Source organism: Homo sapiens, chromosome 9 (genome assembly GCF_000001405.40).
Source record: "Homo sapiens chromosome 9, GRCh38.p14 Primary Assembly".
NCBI classification, from domain to species: domain Eukaryota; kingdom Metazoa; phylum Chordata; class Mammalia; order Primates; family Hominidae; genus Homo; species Homo sapiens.
Genome location: NC_000009.12, coordinates 15,265,049 through 15,284,931, shown reverse-complemented (window position 1 = coordinate 15,284,931; position 19,883 = coordinate 15,265,049). Strand labels below are relative to the sequence as shown.

Genomic DNA, 19,883 nt, shown 5'->3' with positions numbered 1-19,883 from the left:
TTAATTGGCTTGAATTTTTCTCTAGGTACGTTCGATTTGCTTGTCTCGAAGTAATACTTTACCCTTTTTAATATTATTTAAATTGTTCATTATTTTTACATATATAGTAATACATAAAATTATTCTCACTGTAAAAGATTTAAATCCTTCAGAAGCCAAACATGATTTTTGCCTTTACTATATTCCCTCCCTTCCTCTCCTCAGAAGAGACCAGCTTAAGTAAGAATTTGGTTGTGACTTTCTAGTCATAGAAATCTGCAAATCTGGCTTTTGTTAAATAAATGCAAATCCAGCTTTTATTAAAATAAATGGGATTTTGTACCCTACACCTTTCCCAGGATTACGTTTTTCACTTAATATATTTTAGAGATATGTTTTCACTGTTTGCTTTATTTATATAATGTCTGAAGAGAGTTGGGTAATTGTACTATAATTTATTTAATTATCTATTGAAGATCATTTGGGTCTAATTCTAATTTCTTTCGCAGCACAGTGTGTATCATAATCTTGGTACATGAAACCGTGGTACATGAAAATTTTAATAATGCATCCTGGAAGTAGTATTGCTGTGTCAATGTATGTGTGTTTAAATTTTTTAATAGGTCCTGCAAAACGGACTTCTAAACAGACTGTAATGATAGTATATGCTTATTTTCCGGCATCTCTGCCAACTGTGGATATTATCAACCTTGTAAATTTTTGCCAATCACAGGGACAAAAATAATATGACTTTTTACGTGCACATTTCCACATTTATTGGCTAGTGGATTTCTTCTTCAGTGTACGAGTGCATGTCACACCCTTTATCTTTTGTCCTTTTTGGTTGTCTATTCCTTATGACCTGTAGGAGTGTTCTTTGTTTATTCTAAATAGTAATTGTTTTGCCTGTTAAAGTGCCTTAATTATTTTATCCTAGCCAGTTGCTTGTCTTAGAAGTTTAAAATTTTTATGTAGCAAAATCTTTTACTCTTTTCTTTAAGGCTTCTGGTCTTTGTGTTTTGCTTAGAAAGACTGTCCCTGTTTTAAGATTATTTTAAAAAATACCCATTTTTTAAAATTTTTATATTTATCTCTTTATATGGAAACTTGTATATGGGTTTAATTTCATTTTTGTCTTAGTAGACAACCAATATCCTTAGCATCAGTTATTAAATATTTTCTCTCTACTGTAAAATCGTAACTGAATAATAAAATTCCGATATGCACAGGAATCCCTGTCTGTATTCTTTATTATGTTCTATTGATCTGTATATATGTTCCTGTGCCAATTCCATAGTTTCAATTTTTCAGGGCAAATCCTACAATTTTTTTTCCTTCTTGATAACTTTAGAACTACTTGTCAGGTTCCACTGAGAGTTCTGCTGCGAATCTTATTGACTGAGTTCTCTGTATGTAAAAAGTTCTCCTGGCATGAAAAGGAACTCAGGCTATGGAATCAAATAGGCCTGTGTATAAACCAGTTGTTAGCTGTGGGAATGATAATTGCACCTGTTTTACAGAAATGTCAAGTTTACATGAGACAATGCATAAAGGTGCAAAAGCTAATGCTTGGTGTACAGACATGCTTACAAAATATTATGTATATCTCCATAGTGACAGAGAAATGATATGTTCTGTGACAGTGTTATAGCTTATTAATCAGAATAGCCTTGCATTCATTTAAGAAATAGCATACTTATATACACATGTGAATAAAATTTCTGTCTTTAGTGATATTCCACTTGATACATAAATAAACACATTAGTGTATTCCTGTACTCATTCATTTATTTCTTTATTGATTCCTTCCAGTAGTATCTTGGTGTGGTTGCTGTGGGTAGGCGTGGCGCTTGGTGCTTGTGGATAGAGCTTATAGATATGCCTTATGGTAAATGCCGCCTGGAGGGAGGGCAGACGTGAAACAAATAGTTGTACCTAATTTTGTAATTACGATTGAGAAATACGGTGTGAAGAAAAGTTACAGTGTCTGTACAGCTCTGGCTCAGTTTGATGAAGTTCACTTTGTCAAATAGCTCAGTTTGTTGAATTTACAAAATTTGCTTCTCAAACATCATTTTAAAAGCTTTAATGAGAATGAGTGTAGATCAGATTCTGAAGCTGGACTCTGTGGGTTTAAATCCTGATTCTGCCACTTATACATGCTTTGTGACCTTGGGTGAGTTACTTAACCTCTCTGTGCTCCAGTTTCATCATATGTAAACTGAGTAGAGTATGAAGCCACTACCGAGGGTTTTTATGAAGAGCAAATCAGTTGTTATATGTAAAAGTTTGTGGAGCAGTGTCTGGCTCATAGAGTGTTGTAGAGGGTGTGTTAGCCATTATTGTGACTTCGTTAGCATCCAAATTTTTAACACCTCATATGGAATTTTAGAATTATTTATTTTTCCCAAATTCTTTTAAAGACCACCTTTCTCATGGTATAACTTACATGCAGTAAACCCATGTTAAGAGTACGTGCTAAGAGTAGCACCATGTTAAGATTAAGTTTTATAAATGTATGCACCCATTTAATCCCCAGTACAACTAAGGCAGAATATTTCCATGAGCCCCCAGGGTTCCTTGGTATCTATCCCTCTGCAGTCATTTCAAATTCCTTTTACTGCATTTGTTTTACCAGAGTGTCAGTCTTTGTCTTTTAACATGTTTAGAATTTTTAATTCATTTTTTGGTGGATAATGTATATGAAATTTGAGATACTAGTTATATGGTCTGTTATACTAATTATCACTTCTGGCAGTCTCTATTTTTTGCGAGTTTTGAGTAAGTGTCTATGTTTAATTGCTTCTTGTTAGAAACCAAAATGTCAGCATTTTACTTATGATAGTATTGGTTCACCAAGCAATTTGGTGAACAAATTAATTTATAGTTAAATTTCTTTTAACTGTAAAACAAGTTAATTTGTTTTACGGTATAATTGAAAGTTTGTTTTCCTACATAATAAAATATGTAGGTAAGTCTGTGTGTGGTGGCTCATGCCTGTAATCTCAACACTTTGGGAGGCTGAGGTGGGTGGATCACTTGAGGTCAGGAGTTTGAGACCAGCCTGACCAACATAGTGAAACCCCACCTCTACCAAAAAATACAAAAATTAGCCGGACTACATGGCATGTGCCTGTAGTCCCTGCTACTCAGGGAAGCTGAAGTGGGAGAATTGCTTGAACCTGGGGGCGGAGATTGCAGTGAGCCTAGATTGTGCCACTGCACTCCAGCGTGAGTGACAGAGTGAGACCCTGTCTCAAAAAGAAAAAAAAAATGCAGAAGAGGCATTTAGCTTTTTGCCATTTTTTTTTTTTTTTTTTTTTTTTTGCTGTTGCAGGGGGGATGTTGGTAGGAGTGGAGGATAATTTAGTCTTAGCAGAAATTAATATGTAGAAGTCTTAAGCTTTTCTCCCTTAGATTGCCCCAAAAGGACAGATTTAACTTCTCAGCATCTCTGCTTTGCTAATACCAAAATTACCTATAAGGATAGATACCAAGAGAGGGAGGGCACTGTATGAGTGGTCCAGTATTTGGACACACAACTTTTCCCTGCAGTAATCATAATGAAAGTAATAATTTAATGGGAGCTGACATTATTTCGTACTTACTGTGAATAGGCATCATGTTAAAGCCTACGTACATCTCATTTAATTCTTCAACCCCATGAGTTTGATGGCACTGTTATTCCCATTTTACAGGTGATGAATAAGAATCTTAGAGAAGTACCTTGCCCAAGACCACACACAGTGGGTTTTTGTTGTTGTTGTTGTTGTTTTTAGATTTTTTTTCCTTTTAGTTTAGAAAGAGAAAAGGAAGGAAATAAAGAAAGTTTGTTAAAATAACTATTGCATAAAAGGACATCTGGGCTAGATGCTGGGATGTACCTCTTCCAGAATAGGGACTGATGATTTAAACAAAAAAAAAGACAAAAAAGAAAGAAAAAAGAAATAAATTATTCTTCTCAATACTGTTTGGGATAATTGCATTGTTTTCATCTTTTCAACACACAAAACAGCCTCTTTGGGAAGCACTGTGATGAGACTGGCAAGAATGGCTGGTGCCTCGACTCTCTAGAATGGTAGGGGGAGCCCTGAGAGAGGCATTCTACTAAACCCCACTGCAAGCATTCGCATTCTTTACTCCTCCTACTTTTGGAATTGGGAAGGACCAGACTCAAGCTAAGTTCTCAATATATTAACTTTTAGGGATACCCACTGCCTCTCCTGACCCTCTTCTAGCAAACTCCCCTGCTGGCCCCTTTTCCGCCAGCTAGCTGCAGCAACCATACCAAGGGCCAGGAGGCTGCTTGGTGGTCTCAGCTAAGCAAAAGCGGGGTATCATCATCACTGTTCGGGCCACACATAGTTGGTAAGTGATGGAGCTGATAGCGGGACTCTGCAGTCTTTGTTCTTAGTGTTATTTCTCCCTTGAATTTAAATCTTGAAGGCAGTGAGTTTTTTGGGCTAAATAATTTCTCGTATTTGCCAACCCTTTGAACTTTATAGATTTTTAACATTTGTTTCTCACTCTATCCTCAAAGCATCCAATGCGGTAGGGAAGGAAACCTGATGTTTCATTCATTGCGCAAACGTAGGCAAACTTTTTCTGTAAAGGGACAGCGTAAATATTTTTGGCTTTGAGGACTCTGTGATCTCAGTTGCAGCTATGCAGTTTGTGACTGTTACAGGAAAGCAGCCTTAGACAATATGTCAATTGATTGAGTTGTGGCTGTGTTTCAATAGCACTTTATTTACAGGCCGGGCACGGTGGCTCACACCTGTAATCCCAGCACTTTGGGAGGCCAAGGTGGGCCGATTACTTGAGGCCAGGAGTTCAAGATCAGCCAGGCCAACATGGCAAAACCCTGTCTCTACTAAAAATACAAAAAAATTAGCCGGGTTTGGTGGCATGTACTTGTAGTCCCAGCTACTTGGGAGGCTGAGGCAGGAGAATCGCTTGAACCCGGGGGGTGGAGGTTGCACTGAGCCAAGATCATGCCACTGCACCCCAGCCTGGGTGACAGAGTGAGACTCCGTCTCAAAAAAAAAAAAAAAAAAAAAGAAAAGAAAAAAAGTACTTTATTTACAAAAAAAGAAAAGGCAGCAGGTGGAATTTGGCCCTGTTTGTAGTTTCCTGACACCAATAGTAATAGACTGATCTATTTGGGGACATCAGGACATGTCAGCCACAGAGAAGGTGACTTAGGATTCTTAGTGCCAAGCATTGTGTGTGGTCCACTTCCTAACCTTTCCCAGGCTGCAGCACACAGTGCCACTCACGAGTACCTTTAGGAGATTCAAGGCACAACAATAATAGTGATAATAACTCATCTTTCTACTGGATGCATTGTTCTAAGTGCTTTTCACATCTGACATTAATCTATGGACAGCTGAGTGACATGGGAAATTGAGGTCCTAAGGAAAATAGCTTGCTCAAGGTCACAGAGCCAGTGGGTGGTGAAACTGGGATTTGAACCCAGATAGAGTGGTTCTAAGCTTGTGAGCTCAAGTCCCTTTACCTTCTCTCTCCCCCATTATAGGATTTCTCAGTTTGAGATCATCTTTGAAGCCTTACTCTTTGGGAACTGCCTCTTCCGAACACTCATATTGAGTGGATAAGGTTCTGTGTTCTCTTTTTGAGACATTTATTTTGGAGCAGAGCTACAAGTAAAGGACTGCTAACTCTGCCAATTTTCTGTTACAGCTGGATAGTTCAAGGGTGGAGCAAGATCATGCAGGAGGTTTCTTTTTGCTCATCCCTGGTCTACACCAGAGACTTTCAACTGCAGAAGCACTTTAATAACAGTAGAGATGATTTATTAAGTGTCTGTTTTGTTGATACTGTGCTAAGTGCATTAAATATATAATATTGGTTAAAATCTCACAATGCTGTAAATTAAGTGGTATTATTCCCATTGCACAGATGGAAAAGTTGAGGCTCAGTTATGGATAAGTTATTTAAATCTCTGAGCCTTAGTTTCCTCATGTGGACATTATGATAGTCCTATCTGTTAGGGTCACTATGAAGATTAAATGAGTTAACACATGTTAAGGATTCTGAGCAATGTTTGGCACTCAATAGTGTTACCTGTTATTGTTGCTGTTATTATTAGAACATAGTAGTAATTGTAGAGGTGAAATGCTCACTTTTTATGAGTATTTGTGAATTAGAAATAAGCACGTGAGTATTCAACATAGTGCCTAGGTGTTAATAGATGGAACTTATGATTATTTATAGGAAGAAACTGTGTAAAGTTCTGTTCCTTTTAATTTAAAAATACCTCCACTGGTGATGGTTTTAAAATTAAACATTAAAATATTAAAAGTCAGTCTCTTGGTTTTGTTTGTTTTTGTTTGTTTTGGGTAAAATTGCTCCCTGCAAAAACAGCCCCAGATATTCCTGTTTACTGTAAATTAGGTAGATTGGATAGAGTTGGCACTAGAGGATAGATATGCTTGACATAGTAAATGATTTACAAGGTGGATTGTACAGCCATAAAAGCAGTAACTTAGAAATATGCACAGGAGAGTAAAATAATTTGCTCATTTATGTTAAATTTCAGTGATAACCTAATTGTAAAAAAGTTTTATTTTACATATGCACTCTATTATATACCATATATCACTATGCATATTTTTTGTATATACTTATTTCTCTGTGGGGTTATGTCCAGAACTGTGAGTATTCTATGATAATGGCAACTTAAAGTATTTGTTCAATGTTAAGATTGACTATATACACGATTTTTCTTTTAAGTACTGACCTTAGGACTTAACCCCTGCCTTAAGCTGCAGCTCAACTCTATAATGAAATGCAGAAAAGGAACATTTTTCCCACCTCCATAAATTAAATAACCGATAATTAATTAACCTTTTCATTTCTTTTTTAGCTCTCTAATCTATGTGTTAGTAGAAACTAAAGCAATGCTATACAATTCAAATTTTTTTTGTGACAGTGACATCTGGTGGTTCCTTTTTAATTCTCGTGATTTCTCTGTGCTTGGCTGGTTGTTGGAAATTCCGAAGAATCATTGTGTGAACTGCTTCGCTTGGCATTTAACACTAGCTAGCTATTGAGAATCAAGTTAGTCCCATTGACGTGGCTTGAACTTTGAAAACCTCAGTGCTCCATTTGGACGCAGCCCTTCTCTGAAGGGAACACCAGCCTTCCTTGGATGAATGAACATTTTAGAATTTGTGATGGGCGAACACTGTCTTGGGAAGGATTTCTCTTTAATTCAGAGAACTTAGGATTTTGAATAAGGGATGGTATCTGTGCCAGCCTCTCTGCTTTACTCATGAGGAGGCTGGAGCCCTGAGAAATAGAGTGTGTTGGCCAAGGTCTCACTGTGTCTTCCAATGTCTCACTGTGTTGGGCAATGTCTCACTGTGTTGGCCAAGGTCTCACCATGTTGGCCAAGGTCACCTGCTTCTTGGTGAGCAGAGGTTCCATAACTTATGGGTTTTGTGCTACCAGGGAGCAGTGTGGCATTGGGCTCTGTGCTCATAAATTACGTTGTTGTTGTTTTTAGACGGAGTTTCTTGTTGCTCGGGCTGGAGTGCAATGGGGCTATCTTGGCTCACTGCAACCGCTGCCTCCCGGGTTCAAGCAATTCTCCTGCCTCAGCCTCCCAAGTAGCTGGGATTACAGGCATGCGCCACCACGCCCAACTAATTTTGTATTTTTAGTAGATGCGGGATTTCTCCATGTTGGTCAGGCTGGTCTTGAACTCCCGACCTCAGGTGATCCACCCGCCTCTGCCTCCCAAAGTGCTGGGATTTCAGGCATGAGCCACTGCGCCCAGCCCATAAATTATGTTTTTTATGCTGGGCAACCCACTAGTAAGAAAGGTCTGGGAGTGAAAGGCTAGAGGGTAAAGGCTAGAGGGCAAAGGGAGTTAACATTTTTCACTACCTATTTGCTGTAAATATCCCACACCCGGCTTTTCTCTCATCCAAAAGAGGCTCAGCATCTTTGACATGAAAAAGAGTTGTTGAGGAAGTATAGTTAGGGATCCCAGCCCCATCTCCTGAGTCTACTGGTTGGTCCCATATCTGAGAATTTAATATCCTGTGAAGTTGTATTTATTGAGCCTGTTTTAAGTCGGACCTGTTCTGTGAGTTATCTCACATCCTTACAATCCCAGTGGGCGGCTGGAATCTTTATTGTACACAACAGGAAGTAGAGGATTGAAAGGCTGGACTCACCTAGGGTCAGAGGTGGAGCCAGGATTCAGTCCCAGACAGGTCTAACCTCCAAGCCTAAATTTATGCTTTCCGCTCTACTACACAGGCTGTGTAATTAAAATCACTTGTGTATTTATTTATAGTGCGTAGTACTTAGGGAGTAGAGGCAGATTTGCTTCCTAGACACTTGAGCACATGACATGGACTTTGTATTGTGACTATGTGGACACATCCAGGAGTATTTTGTGCTTGTGAGAGAAGGGAGGGCTCATGTCATCAAGTCATGACTACCTTGATGGGCACTGGCTCCATGCCAGGCACTTTCCCCTCTGATCTCCTTTGGTCCTCCCAACAGCTTCCTAGGGTGGGTGCTATGGGCATCTCTAATTTACAGAAGATAACTCCAGAGTGGAAGGGGGAAAGGATTTTCTATAGGGATACTAAGGAAGAAAAAGGAGGAGAGAATGGGTGAACAGCAGGCCTGAAGCACACTCGTGTTGTATCTGGCCCTCCCATGCTGAAGTTGATAAACCACATGGTGAGCCAGGCAGGTGCAATTAACCCACTCCTTTCTTCAAGTTCATTATAACCCTGCTGCCAAATCCAAAGGACTTTTATAGGCTAAGTAAGATGTCCTACTAATAACCTCTTAAATTTCTTAAATTTTTCCACATAGTGACAGTTGAAATCAAGGCACAGGGCCCTTTATACTAGCAAACTACCTGCTCCCAGAGGGGACTTTGGTTAGTCAGTCATGGTTCCATGGTATTTATATATCAGCATTTGTTTCTTACAAATGTGACATTGAAAATGCTCCTGTATTCCTGAGGTCTTTTTAAATTTTTTCAAAAAAAGATCTTAAAGGCATTGTGTGTAGATCACTTTTAGGCTGCTTTATTACTAGCACTTTGTAAACACTGTGAGTGAAGATGGACTATGTTTCCGTTTCTCCTCTGCTCCTTTAATCCATAATAGTGAGCTCTGTGGGCATTATTGTTCTCTCAACTGTAGACAACATGACTGTAGTAAACTCTTTTCTACCTTGGGGCCTTACCTTATACATTTCCACCTGCCTAATTCCTTCCCCACCAAGCTCCTTATGTCCTCCCTTCCTCTATCTCCTGATGAAGTGAGGTCCCTTTACCTGGTGGTTTCATCATGGGCGTATCCTCCTTCTCCCAGAAGACTTCCTTAAAGCAAGGACTCTTTTGCTGCAGTTTCACTAGCGCTTGGCGTATCGATGCTGGTAGTTCCTAAATGCATAGAAAGTAATCTTTCCCATTAAAATGCCCGTTACTCCATATCCCCAGTTTCTACTATTAGATCTGTGATTTTTTGGTAAAAATGAAGCTTTAAAAAACATAGAACCTTACTTCATCAACCCTAAGGCCTAGAGAAACAAAGCAATACAAAGGAACACAGAACTGGCTGGGAGCGTTGGCTCATGCCTGTAATCCCAGCACTTTGGGAGGCCGAGGCGGGCAGATCACCTGAGGTCAGGAGTTCAAGACCAGCCTTACCAACCTGGAGAAACCCCGTCTCTACTAAAAATACAAAATTAGCTGGGTGTAGTGGTGCATGCCTGTAATCTCAGCTACTTGGGAGGCTGAGGCAGGAGAATCGCTTGAACTGGAGGGGCGGAGGTTGCAGTGAGCCAAGATCGCACCATTGCACTCCAGCCTGGACAACAAGAGTGAAACTCCATCTCAGGAAAAAAAAAAAAACAGAATTTACGTGGGATTATATGAGAGCACTTACCTGGCACAAGAGCAACCAGGGAACTATATTAATCCTACACCTGGAGAACATGGAAAATTATTTTTAATCTCAACTGATGAATGTTTAAAAATTTCTAAAGCATGAGCTTTATGTTTTGGCAGATGATTTTACTGTTGTTTTGCTGTTATTATTTTTTTAATCCCTATTTCTGAAAAAATGTTTGAAAATCTCCAGTTTTTTCTAAGTCTATTAAAAAAATCTAAAAAAATTATTGCCTGGAATTTGACAAACCTGGACAAATTAAGAAGATAAACTTAGTGTTAGTTTTTTTTCAGGTGTGATACTTGAAATTTGAGAAGGTCATGTTTTGTTCCCTGCAAGGACCAACAACAGTCGTTACAGGTGGGGACTTGGAATGTGAGTGTGTCTAATGTGTGGGCCCCTATTGCTTTCTTTCCCTTTGATTAAGAATTCTGTAGGTCAGTTAAGGTTTCACAAAGGACTTGCTTTGATGCTAATCCTTTAAGGAGGGTATGAGGGGTGCTTGTCCTTTGCAAACCCAGTTATGGGGGAGCTGAAGCTGATTATTACATTTGCCATCAAAGAACATTGATGCTCTTTCATGCAATATGAAACTTAAAAAAATGTGGCACTGCAGATAAGATGCGACTAGTTGGTAGTCCTTGGGATTTAGTTGGAGAGTTTAAATGCTGTAGAAGGCCATGGACTACTTTTTGAACTTGACAAATAGATTACAGAGAATTGGATGATAAATGTGAGCAGAATGAAAAATTATTCCTAACAGATGAGCTCAGGGTACGTATATATTTTTAAAATGAATTTTGCACAATAATAAAGGTGTATTTTAAATTAATTCTGACTTAGAAAAATCAGTACTTTATTCAAGTTTTAATAGGGAGTGATGTGACTTGAGTTTATGCATTTCTCATATGATTCCTTTAACTAGGAATGTGCTGTTTCTCTTTATGAGAGAAATTCAATATTTGAGGAATCCTCCAGGTGTGTCAGTCACTATGATAATGCTTCTGATGTCAGTCTGGTTTCCCATTTTGGACATCTTGATTTACAGGAGTGGATGCCATGTAGACACGTGTTTGTATTCCGTAGAACCTAATACCCATGGCTCTTAGTCCCTGCCTCAGTCCTGGGGGGAAGTTGGGGCATCCTCTTCATGTCTCATCTCCATGGGAATGGTCCAGATATGCCCCAAAAGAATTCATGACTTGCCAGAGTTCTCAACAGTTGTAGCGTTCTTTGAGTCCATGATACCAAACACACAGCTTCATTGGTCAGTGGAATGGAATGTTGGGTGGGAAAGCTCCAGTGAGAAGGGGCCTGGTTGTGTGGGGGTGGGCACCTGCCCACCTGTGGTCTTCATTGAGGAGGAAGGTATCTGCAAGCCCTCTCAAACCTTGTCATCTTTGCTAAAGTGCGGTGGTTAAATGAGCGTGGTAGAATCTGTTCTCAGGCCTGTGAAGTCATCCCTATGAGAAAGATGGTAAAATGGAGGACAGGGCTGAGGGTGAGGAGGAGGAACGCGGAGGAGGAGGGAGGAATGTGGAGGAGGAGGGAGGAACGGAGTTCTAGAGAAGCGATACAGCTTTGTGGATTTACAGTACCTGGCGTTATTTTTTGTCATGTTACTTCCTACTTCCTTTTCCTTCTTGCAGTAATATTTGTCACATATTCCTTTTCAAACCACGAAGTGAATTAAAAATCAGATAGGGAGGCCTGAAAAATTTGTAAATCTATTTGGTCTCTTTGGCAGTTAATGGAGAGTATTGACATTACTACTGTTAATAGCATATTTGTCATCTTTACTCTTTGTTCTCTAGAGATAAAAATAATGTAAACACTTTTGTCATTAATATCTTCATTAAGATTCTTAAATGAACATCAAGAACCTGCTCTTCCACTCAAATGTTCTTGCATGCATTTTTGCTACTCAGAATATGACAAAGCTAGCGAGTTAAGATGGAAATTGTTTGGAAAAGCCTTAGTAGGTGATGCAGCTTTCCTCACTCTGTGTCAGTTCTACGATCAGGATGGCAGTTTCTATGATCTGGAGGCAGAGGTAGGGTTCAGGCTGATCTCCCAGGAGGCAGCAGGCCCTGGGTGCTGGCCTTATATCTGTCAGCTCACCTAGGGAATCCTTCAACTAACAGGTGAGCCCATTTTTTAACGTGCAAAATGAAACTGCTCAAGGTGAGGACCTTCCACCTCCAGACAAGGGTGCTCAGCCAGTTAGTTAGCTAACCATGATTTGCTAAGAGTCCATGAAGTACAGAGTACTGTGCTGGGCTGGAAAGCAGATTCATAAAGAATAGAATGGTGCTTGACTCCAACTAGAGAGTCAAGATAGGCTCTTGAACAAGTTAGATACTGTTTGGAGGCAGTGTATTATTTGGGAGCCAGGTGTGGTTCAATGAAAACATCTGTTACACCAGGCCCTACAGTAGTAGCACTTCAAGGTTGGCCCTGGTATGGGAGTAGGGCAGGCAAATGCAGCTGCCTTTAAGGAGGGAACTAAACACCGAGGTTTTCCTGTAACACTTTGTATTTGTTGGCAGTGTGAGCTCTCCTGTCTTACTTTACTTATGTTGGAAGGAGTCAGGATGCTCCTCTGAGTGTGCGTGTTGTAACTGGAGGGCACACGGTGAGCCCACCAGTACTGGGGAGCTAAGGGAAACCAACACTGGAGGAGCACTAGGAAATTTATGGTGAGTATGGAGAAGCAAAGAGACTTTGGTGGAAACATCTAGTTCTGCTACATGAAGAATACATGCGTGACTACTGAGGGCCAGGTGGGAGACTGTGGAATAGCTGTCAGTGCCAAACCTAGGGGCCCTGATGGGAATCTCACACAAGGAAAAGGAGCTTCCTGAGGCAGCAGCAGAAAAGGGATAGAATTTGAACTGAGTGTGGGGACCAAGACAGACAGGAGGGAAAGGAAGCACTGGTCTTTCTGTAGGGATATGGAACAGATGCATGAGCAGTCTCTGCCTTTTGGTGTTTCATCCTCCACGTGGACCCCACATCACTTTTCCCAAGGATGCAGGAAACTGTATTTGCTGGTACCCAGGGAGAGAGCGGTTGGCCATCTCCGGGTCCAAGTATAATTTCCCAGAATTGGAAATAAGAGTCTCATAAAGATATAAATGAGCATGTCAAAATTTTATTTCATCCACCAATTAGGAAACCAGTGAAATGGTAAATTGATCCAAACAGTATTTGAGGAACTAGTATTTATAAGCTTAAGGAAGAATGTTAGATTAAGATTGCTAGGTTATACATAAAGCTGGGTAATACCTTAAAGCAGGGGTCCCCAATGCCTGAGCCGTGGACTGGTACTGGTCTGTAGCCTGTTAGGAACCAGGCTGCACAGCAGGAGGTGAGTGGTGGGCGGGCGAGCATTACCACAGCTCCACCCCGTGTTAGATCAGCGGTGGCGTGAGAGTCTCAGGAGAGCTAACCCTACTGTGAAATGTGCATGCAAGTGATCTAGGTTGCGCACTCCTTATGAGAATCTAATGTCTGATGATCTGAGGTGGAACAGTTTCATCCTGAAACCATCTCCTCACTGTCCCCCATCATCTGTGGAAAAATTGTCTCCCATGAAACCAGTCCCTGGTGCCAAAAAGGTTGGGAACTGCTGTCTCACTGAGCAGCAAAATCATAATCTTTGAGGTAGTCTTTTTCGCCACTAAAAATCCTGTAAGTCAACATGTAACTTCACAGTGTGCGGACTCCAATCAGACAGCAGATGGCAAAATTAAACACAAATACACTCTTCTAGAGAGTTAAATAATCCTTGGGAGGCTTGTAAAACAATGCTACCATATTACATTGAGAGGATATGGCACCCCTTCATCTCCCACCCCCTCCCCATCCTGCCCAACTGTCTAATTTCCAAGTTTTAGATAGTTTGTATTGACATTAATAAAATGCTTTGGTTTTAAGCCTGAGATTGAACCCCAGTTTCTTCACTGTGTAATGTTGGGCAAGTAATTAAACTACAACTGGCTTAACTTGCTGTATGTTGGGAGGAACACATGAAATAGCTTTTGTAAGGTTGTAAGGTGCCTGGCACATGATAGGTACTCAGTAAATCTTAGTTCTTCTCTTCACCTTTCCTTTTTTAAAATTAAGACACTTCCACCTTTTGTCTGGCCTTTATAGACCACATATGCTTTATTTAGAAAACTCTCTGCCCCGTGATTACTGTTTCAACAAAATGGAGAGTTTCGATATTCTTGAAATCGTGTTTTTTTTTTTAAATAAAAAAGTTATTAGATACAGGGTCTTACTATACTGTCCATGCTGAACTCAAGCCATCCTTCTACCTCAGCCTCTCGAGTAGCTGGGACTACAGGTGTGCACCACCTGGCTTGATATTCTTTTTTTTTTTTTTCTTTTTTTGATGGAGGGGTGGGAATACTTCTTGTTTAGATGAAAATATTAGTCTTATCTTCTTTACACGGAGGGTTGGCTTCCCAAGTTATCCTTTGCGTCGCTCACTCAGTAAGTATTTTAGTGTCCATGCTGAGGTTTGTGAGGAGGAGGAGAAGGCACAGAAGGCTCCCAGGAGTGGGCTGTCCATGTACCCTATTGTTGGTAAGTGCAGAGGGAGTCTGCAGAGCTGCCGGAGGGACTATGAGCTGGGCTTATCATAGTGAGATTTGGGTTCCTGGAGAATACGTTTTCCTCCCTTCTCTGTAACTACTCACATGATAACCTGTGTGCTGGCCCTTGATTTTACCTCCCTTATGGAGTATGATATTAATGTAGATTAATAGGTCAGGGTCCCAAACTCAAACTCAGTTCTGCCACTGTTTACAACTTTTTTTTTTTTTCCTTGAGATGGAGTCTTGCTCTGTTGCCCAGTCTGGAGTGCAGTGGGGCAATCTTGACTCACTGCAAGCTCCGCCTCCTGAGTTCAAGTGATTCTTGTGCCTCAGCCTCCTCAAGTAGCTGGGATTACAGAAATGCACCACCATGCCTGGCTAATTTTTGTATTTTTAGTAGGAATGGGGTTTCACCATGTTGGCCAGGCTGGTCTCAAACTCCTGACCTCAGGTGATCCACCAGCCTTGGCCTCCCAAAGTGTTGGGATTACAGGTGTAAGCCACCAGGTCCAGTCGGTTCTTCTTTTTTTTTTTTTCTTTTTTTTTGGAGACGGAGTCTCACTCTGTCACACAGGATGGAGTGCAATGGCATGATCTCGGCTCACTGTAACGTCCGCCTCCCAGGTTCAAGCGATTATCCTGCCTCAGCCTCCCAAGTAGCTGGGATTACAGGTGCATGTCACCACGCCCAGCTAATTTTTTTGTATTTTTTAGTAGAGAGAGGGATTCACCATGTGGGCCAGGCTGGTCTCCAACTCCTGACCTTGTGATCCACCCGCCTCGGCCTCCCAAAGTGCTGGGATTGCAGGCATGAGCCACTGCGCCTGGCCAGGTTCTTCTTTTTAGTATTTACACTTTTGTTTTTTCTGCCTCACCGCAGAATCCAGTATGGTCTAAACCTTGTTCAGTATTAATGGCCACACAAGGGAAAAGATCCCTAGCCCCCTTTCCTCATTTCTGTGCATAACTCTAAATGAGGTGTGATACGGTAAGTCCCTTGGCGGTCCAGGTTCCATTCATTCATTCATTCATTCATTAGGCAACAAGTATTTATTGAGCAAACCCTGGTGCGAAGCCCTGGTGTTTTTTCTGTGTATGTAAGAGCCTGCTCTGATGGAGACAGAGGGTGACCAAGTAAACAAGGAAGATCATTAGAGATTATGATAAGTGCTATGAATGAAACAAATGAAATGATGAGGAACTTTATGTAAGCTGCTATTCCTAGTAATTTTAATTAGGGTGATCAGAGATGTTCTTCTTGAGGAGGTGGCTTTCTAAGCTGAAAATCAAAGGATGAGAATGAGTCAGCCATGGGAATAATTGAGCAAAGGACATTATAAGAAAGGGGACAGTGCAGAGAGCTGTGGGATGTTTGACTTGTCCAAGGAACGGAAAGAAAGACCTGTGGCTGGAGTCGAGTGAGTAAGGGGATGTGGTCAGAGGCTGGCGGGGCTGTTTTAGGGCTCTGTAGATAGGGAGAATGAGTTTGGGATTTTTCTAAATGCAATGGAAAGCTCTTGAAGAGGTCTAGAAAACTGGAATGGTGTATGCTTATTCAAAAACATGAAGTAAAAGAATGATATTGTTGTCATGTGAAGAATTGAATGGAGGGTGTCAAGCACAGGAGTAGGGAGACCAGTGAGGTGGCCCTTTGGAGGTCTCGTGGCTTGGGCTATGGTAAGAGTGGTAGGGATGTCAGAGAAGGATGCTTGGAAGATTAAGCTGGGTTGTGGTGGACCCCGGATACCTGGATGAGGAGCTTAGGTTTGGTTTTTGCAGCTGTGAGGGAGCTGTTGTGAATGTGTGAGTTTTTGAGTGAGTGCATGTGTATTTGTATGTGTGACTGTGAGATTGTGTGTGAGTCACTGTGTCTGAGTGTGGAGTGTGTGTGTGGTCTTCTGAGTGCATATGACTGTGTGCGTTTCTCTCCTGTTGCAGCTGTGATCAGGCCAGTGGCATGAAGCAAAGGGCTATCCTGTGTGGCACAGAGTAAACTGGGGGAAAGGCTGGTGGCAGGGAGACGAGCTGAGAGGGTGGTGCAATATGTGAAATGAAGGCCCAGAGGATGCTCACTTGGCTAGCCATGGAGAAAGAAAAGACTACATCGGGCAAGTCCTCTTATTTATTTTACTCTATAGTTGGGAAGAATGAGATTTAGGAGTGAAAGGTAACTTCATAAAAGACGTCATAGTCTCTTTAAATTAGGCCAGTTTGATCACTTGCTGAGTATTTTACCAGCCTTATTAAAAAAAAAATTAAACGTCACTGAAATGCATCTGCTTGATTTCTGTAAACAGAATTCCATAAGCGTTAAGTTGATTGATTCTACTGCCTGCTATACCTTCCTGCCAGGACCACTCTCCCCAATGCGTGTATTCATTTTCTCTTTTAGAATTCTTGAGAAACCCATTGAGAATTCTTGAGAAACTCATTGTATTTTTTATTTCCCCCAGGACGTTTTCGAAGATGCCTTGGAAACCATCTCAATGTAAGTAATAACATAATAAAAAGTATGTAGTAAGGAAAAATTGATGGTTGTCTTACATAAAAAGTAAATATTTCATTCTCATTTTTTGGAGAGTACGGCAATGGCTATTTTCAGAAAAAAAAAGTCACTTTTCTATAATTAAAGAGGATGTGATTATATTTAAGAAAGGATCTATCTAATACTTTCAGATACATTTCTGAGTATTATTTCTTGTAACAAAATAAAATATTTCTCAACAAAGTATTTGTTTATAGCTAACTCTTTTAATAGTTGTTCATATTTATGTCAGTCTCATTTTGTAGATTTTTGTGTTTGGTTTGCACTTAGTTTTATTAAAAGCATTCACTGTAAGCCTATATAGTTTTTGTAATAATTCTAAATTGCTAAATCATATTAGATCAAATGGAATATTACAATTTACTTACCTGCTTCTCCATTGTTAGACATTTAGGTTGTCACTGGCTTAGAAATGTAGAACTAAGTTTTACATGTGTATAGCTTTGTTATATTTTGAATTATTTCTAAAGGTTAACATAACAAATGTAGGATTACTGAATTAAAAGGGATGAATATGTTTATTGTTCTTTGTATATCTCTAATTGCCTTCCTGTATTAGTTAACTTCAGCTTCTATAACAAAACACAATAGCCTGGGTGGCTTAATCAACAATAATTTATTTTCTCACAATTTTGGAGGCTAGAAGTCTGAGTTAAGGGTGCCAGCATGGTTGGGATTCTGGTAGGGGCTCTCCTCTTGGCTTGCAGACTGCCTCCTTGTTGTGTTCTTACATGGCCGAGAGAGTGAGAGCAAAAGCTCTCTGGTGTCCTTTTTTTTTGAGACGGAGTCTCGCTCTGTCGCCCAGGTTGGAGTGCAGTGGCACGATCTCGGCTCACTGCAAGCTCCGCCTCCCAGGTTCACGCCATTCTGCTGCCTTAGCCTCCCAAGTAGCTGGGATTACAGCTCCCGCCACCACGCCAGGCTATTTTTTTTGTATTTTTAGTAGAGACGGGGTTTCACCATGTTAGCCAGGATGGTCTCCATCTCCTGACCTCGTGATCTGCCCCTCTTGTCCTCCCAAAGTGCTGGGATTACAGGCGTGAGCCACTGCGCCCTGCCTGATGTCCTTTCTTATAAGGGTGTTAATCCTATCCTGAGGACCCCACTCTCCTGACCTCATTTAAATCCGATTGTCTCCCAAAGGCTCCATATTTAAATTCCATCACATTGGGGGTTTGGGCTTGAACATGTGCATGTACAGGTGGGGGTAGAGGGGCACCGTTTGTTTTACAGTACTTCCACAGGAGTATTATCAATTTACTTGGCTACCAATACTATGTAAGCAAAGTGGTTTAAACTGTCACATTATCATCACTGGGTATTATTTCAAAAACAGTTTTGCAACTTAAATGATACCTACTTTAGTATTTTTAAAAATTATTTTAAAAATACATTGCATCTTTTGTATGACTTCTAATTTTCTTTTGTCTCTTAGCTTTTTTCAGAATGTTTCTCTTAACATACTTATGGACTTTAAATTATATATACCCTAATCTTTTGTCATATTTGCTATAGATATTTCCTCCAGACTGCAATTTTTCTTTATTTTAGTATTATACATTTTTATTTTGTCCAAAAGTTTCATGTTTATATGATTTTTTAAAAAAAAAACTTAATTGTGATTGGGATTAACCTATTAATTAGGAGCAGTTTCAGACTTACAGAATTATTGAGGAGGTAGTACAGAGTATTCCTGTGTACCCCACCCAGGTTTTCTCTATTATTAATTTCTTAAGTTAGCATGGTACATTTCTCACAATTAATGATCAATATGGATATATTATTGTTAACTACAGTCCATACGTTATCCAGATTTATTTAGTTTGTACCTAGTGTCCTTTTTCTGCCTCAGCATCCCACCCAAGATACCACTTTACATTTAGTCGTCATGTCCCCTTAGGCTCCTCTTGGCTGTGACAGTCTCTCAGACTCTCGTTTTCGGTGACCTTGACAGTTTTGAGGAGTACTGTCAGTTATTTTGTAGAATGGCCCTTAATTGAGATTGGTCTGTTTTTCCCCCCTCATGATTTGACTGTGGTCATGTGTTTTTGGGAAGAAGACCCCAGATGGAAAGGGCCATTCTTATCACATCATAGCAAAGATCCACGATATCAATGTGACTTAGCACTACCGATGTTGAACTTGGTCACATGGCATGGGTAGTGTTTGTCAGGTTTTTCCACTGTGAAGTTGCCCTTTTTCCCCTCCTCCCTTTTTATACAGTACTCTTTGGAAGATAATCTGTTTATGTGATTTTTAAGAAATCACTTCTATGGTGGGCAAGTGATCGCCATTCAGAAATCTTATAATTATTCAACCCTGCTCCTCCCTTGGTGTTGGCAGGAATTGAGCTTGGGCTATAGTAGGTGATCACAGTCCAGGGGATGGAAAAGGATCAGGCCTTGGGGCTGGTGATTGGAGTTCACCAGAGGAGACACTGCTTTTCCCAGCGGGAGCTAGCATGCCACACACAACAGAGAGGGGTGCAGACCTCACAGAGGAGGACGGGTCTCACTGACCAGTGGGAGCAGTGTGACCCCTGAGCAGTGCACATTGATGCTTGTGCTTCTCTGAGCTCCCACTGGCTTCAGTAGGCTGGTAGTGGCTTTACCTTTGGGACCTCAGGAAGGCATTGCAAGCAGTTTTTTTAACATCTATTAGTTTTTAAAAAAATCAAACCACAGAAATAAACAAAAGCCCTAAATTCAACCCAGCTGAAGTTAATTTAGATTCCTATCTCACACCAGCCCTAAAATTGCTAGCCCACTATTCCAGCACCATTTGTTAGGTCCATGAGGGAAACAATTT

General features: G+C 40.5%; 1 protein-coding gene across 7 annotated transcripts in view; it reads left to right on the top strand.

The window, feature by feature from the left end:
* The window catches only part of TTC39B (tetratricopeptide repeat domain 39B), a 143,595-nt gene that overhangs the window by 22,285 nt on the left and 101,427 nt on the right, over nt 1–19,883 (top strand). For 6 of the 7 annotated variants that reach the window (NM_001168341.2, NM_001168339.2, NM_152574.3 and 3 more), the window contains exon 2: nt 16,984–17,018. The exons of the other annotated variant lie outside the window; for it this stretch is intronic. In NM_001168341.2, the coding sequence (NP_001161813.2) occupies nt 16,984–17,018 (35 nt within the window). The remainder of the gene's footprint in view (nt 1–16,983; nt 17,019–19,883) is intronic. 7 annotated transcript variants of the gene reach the window in all.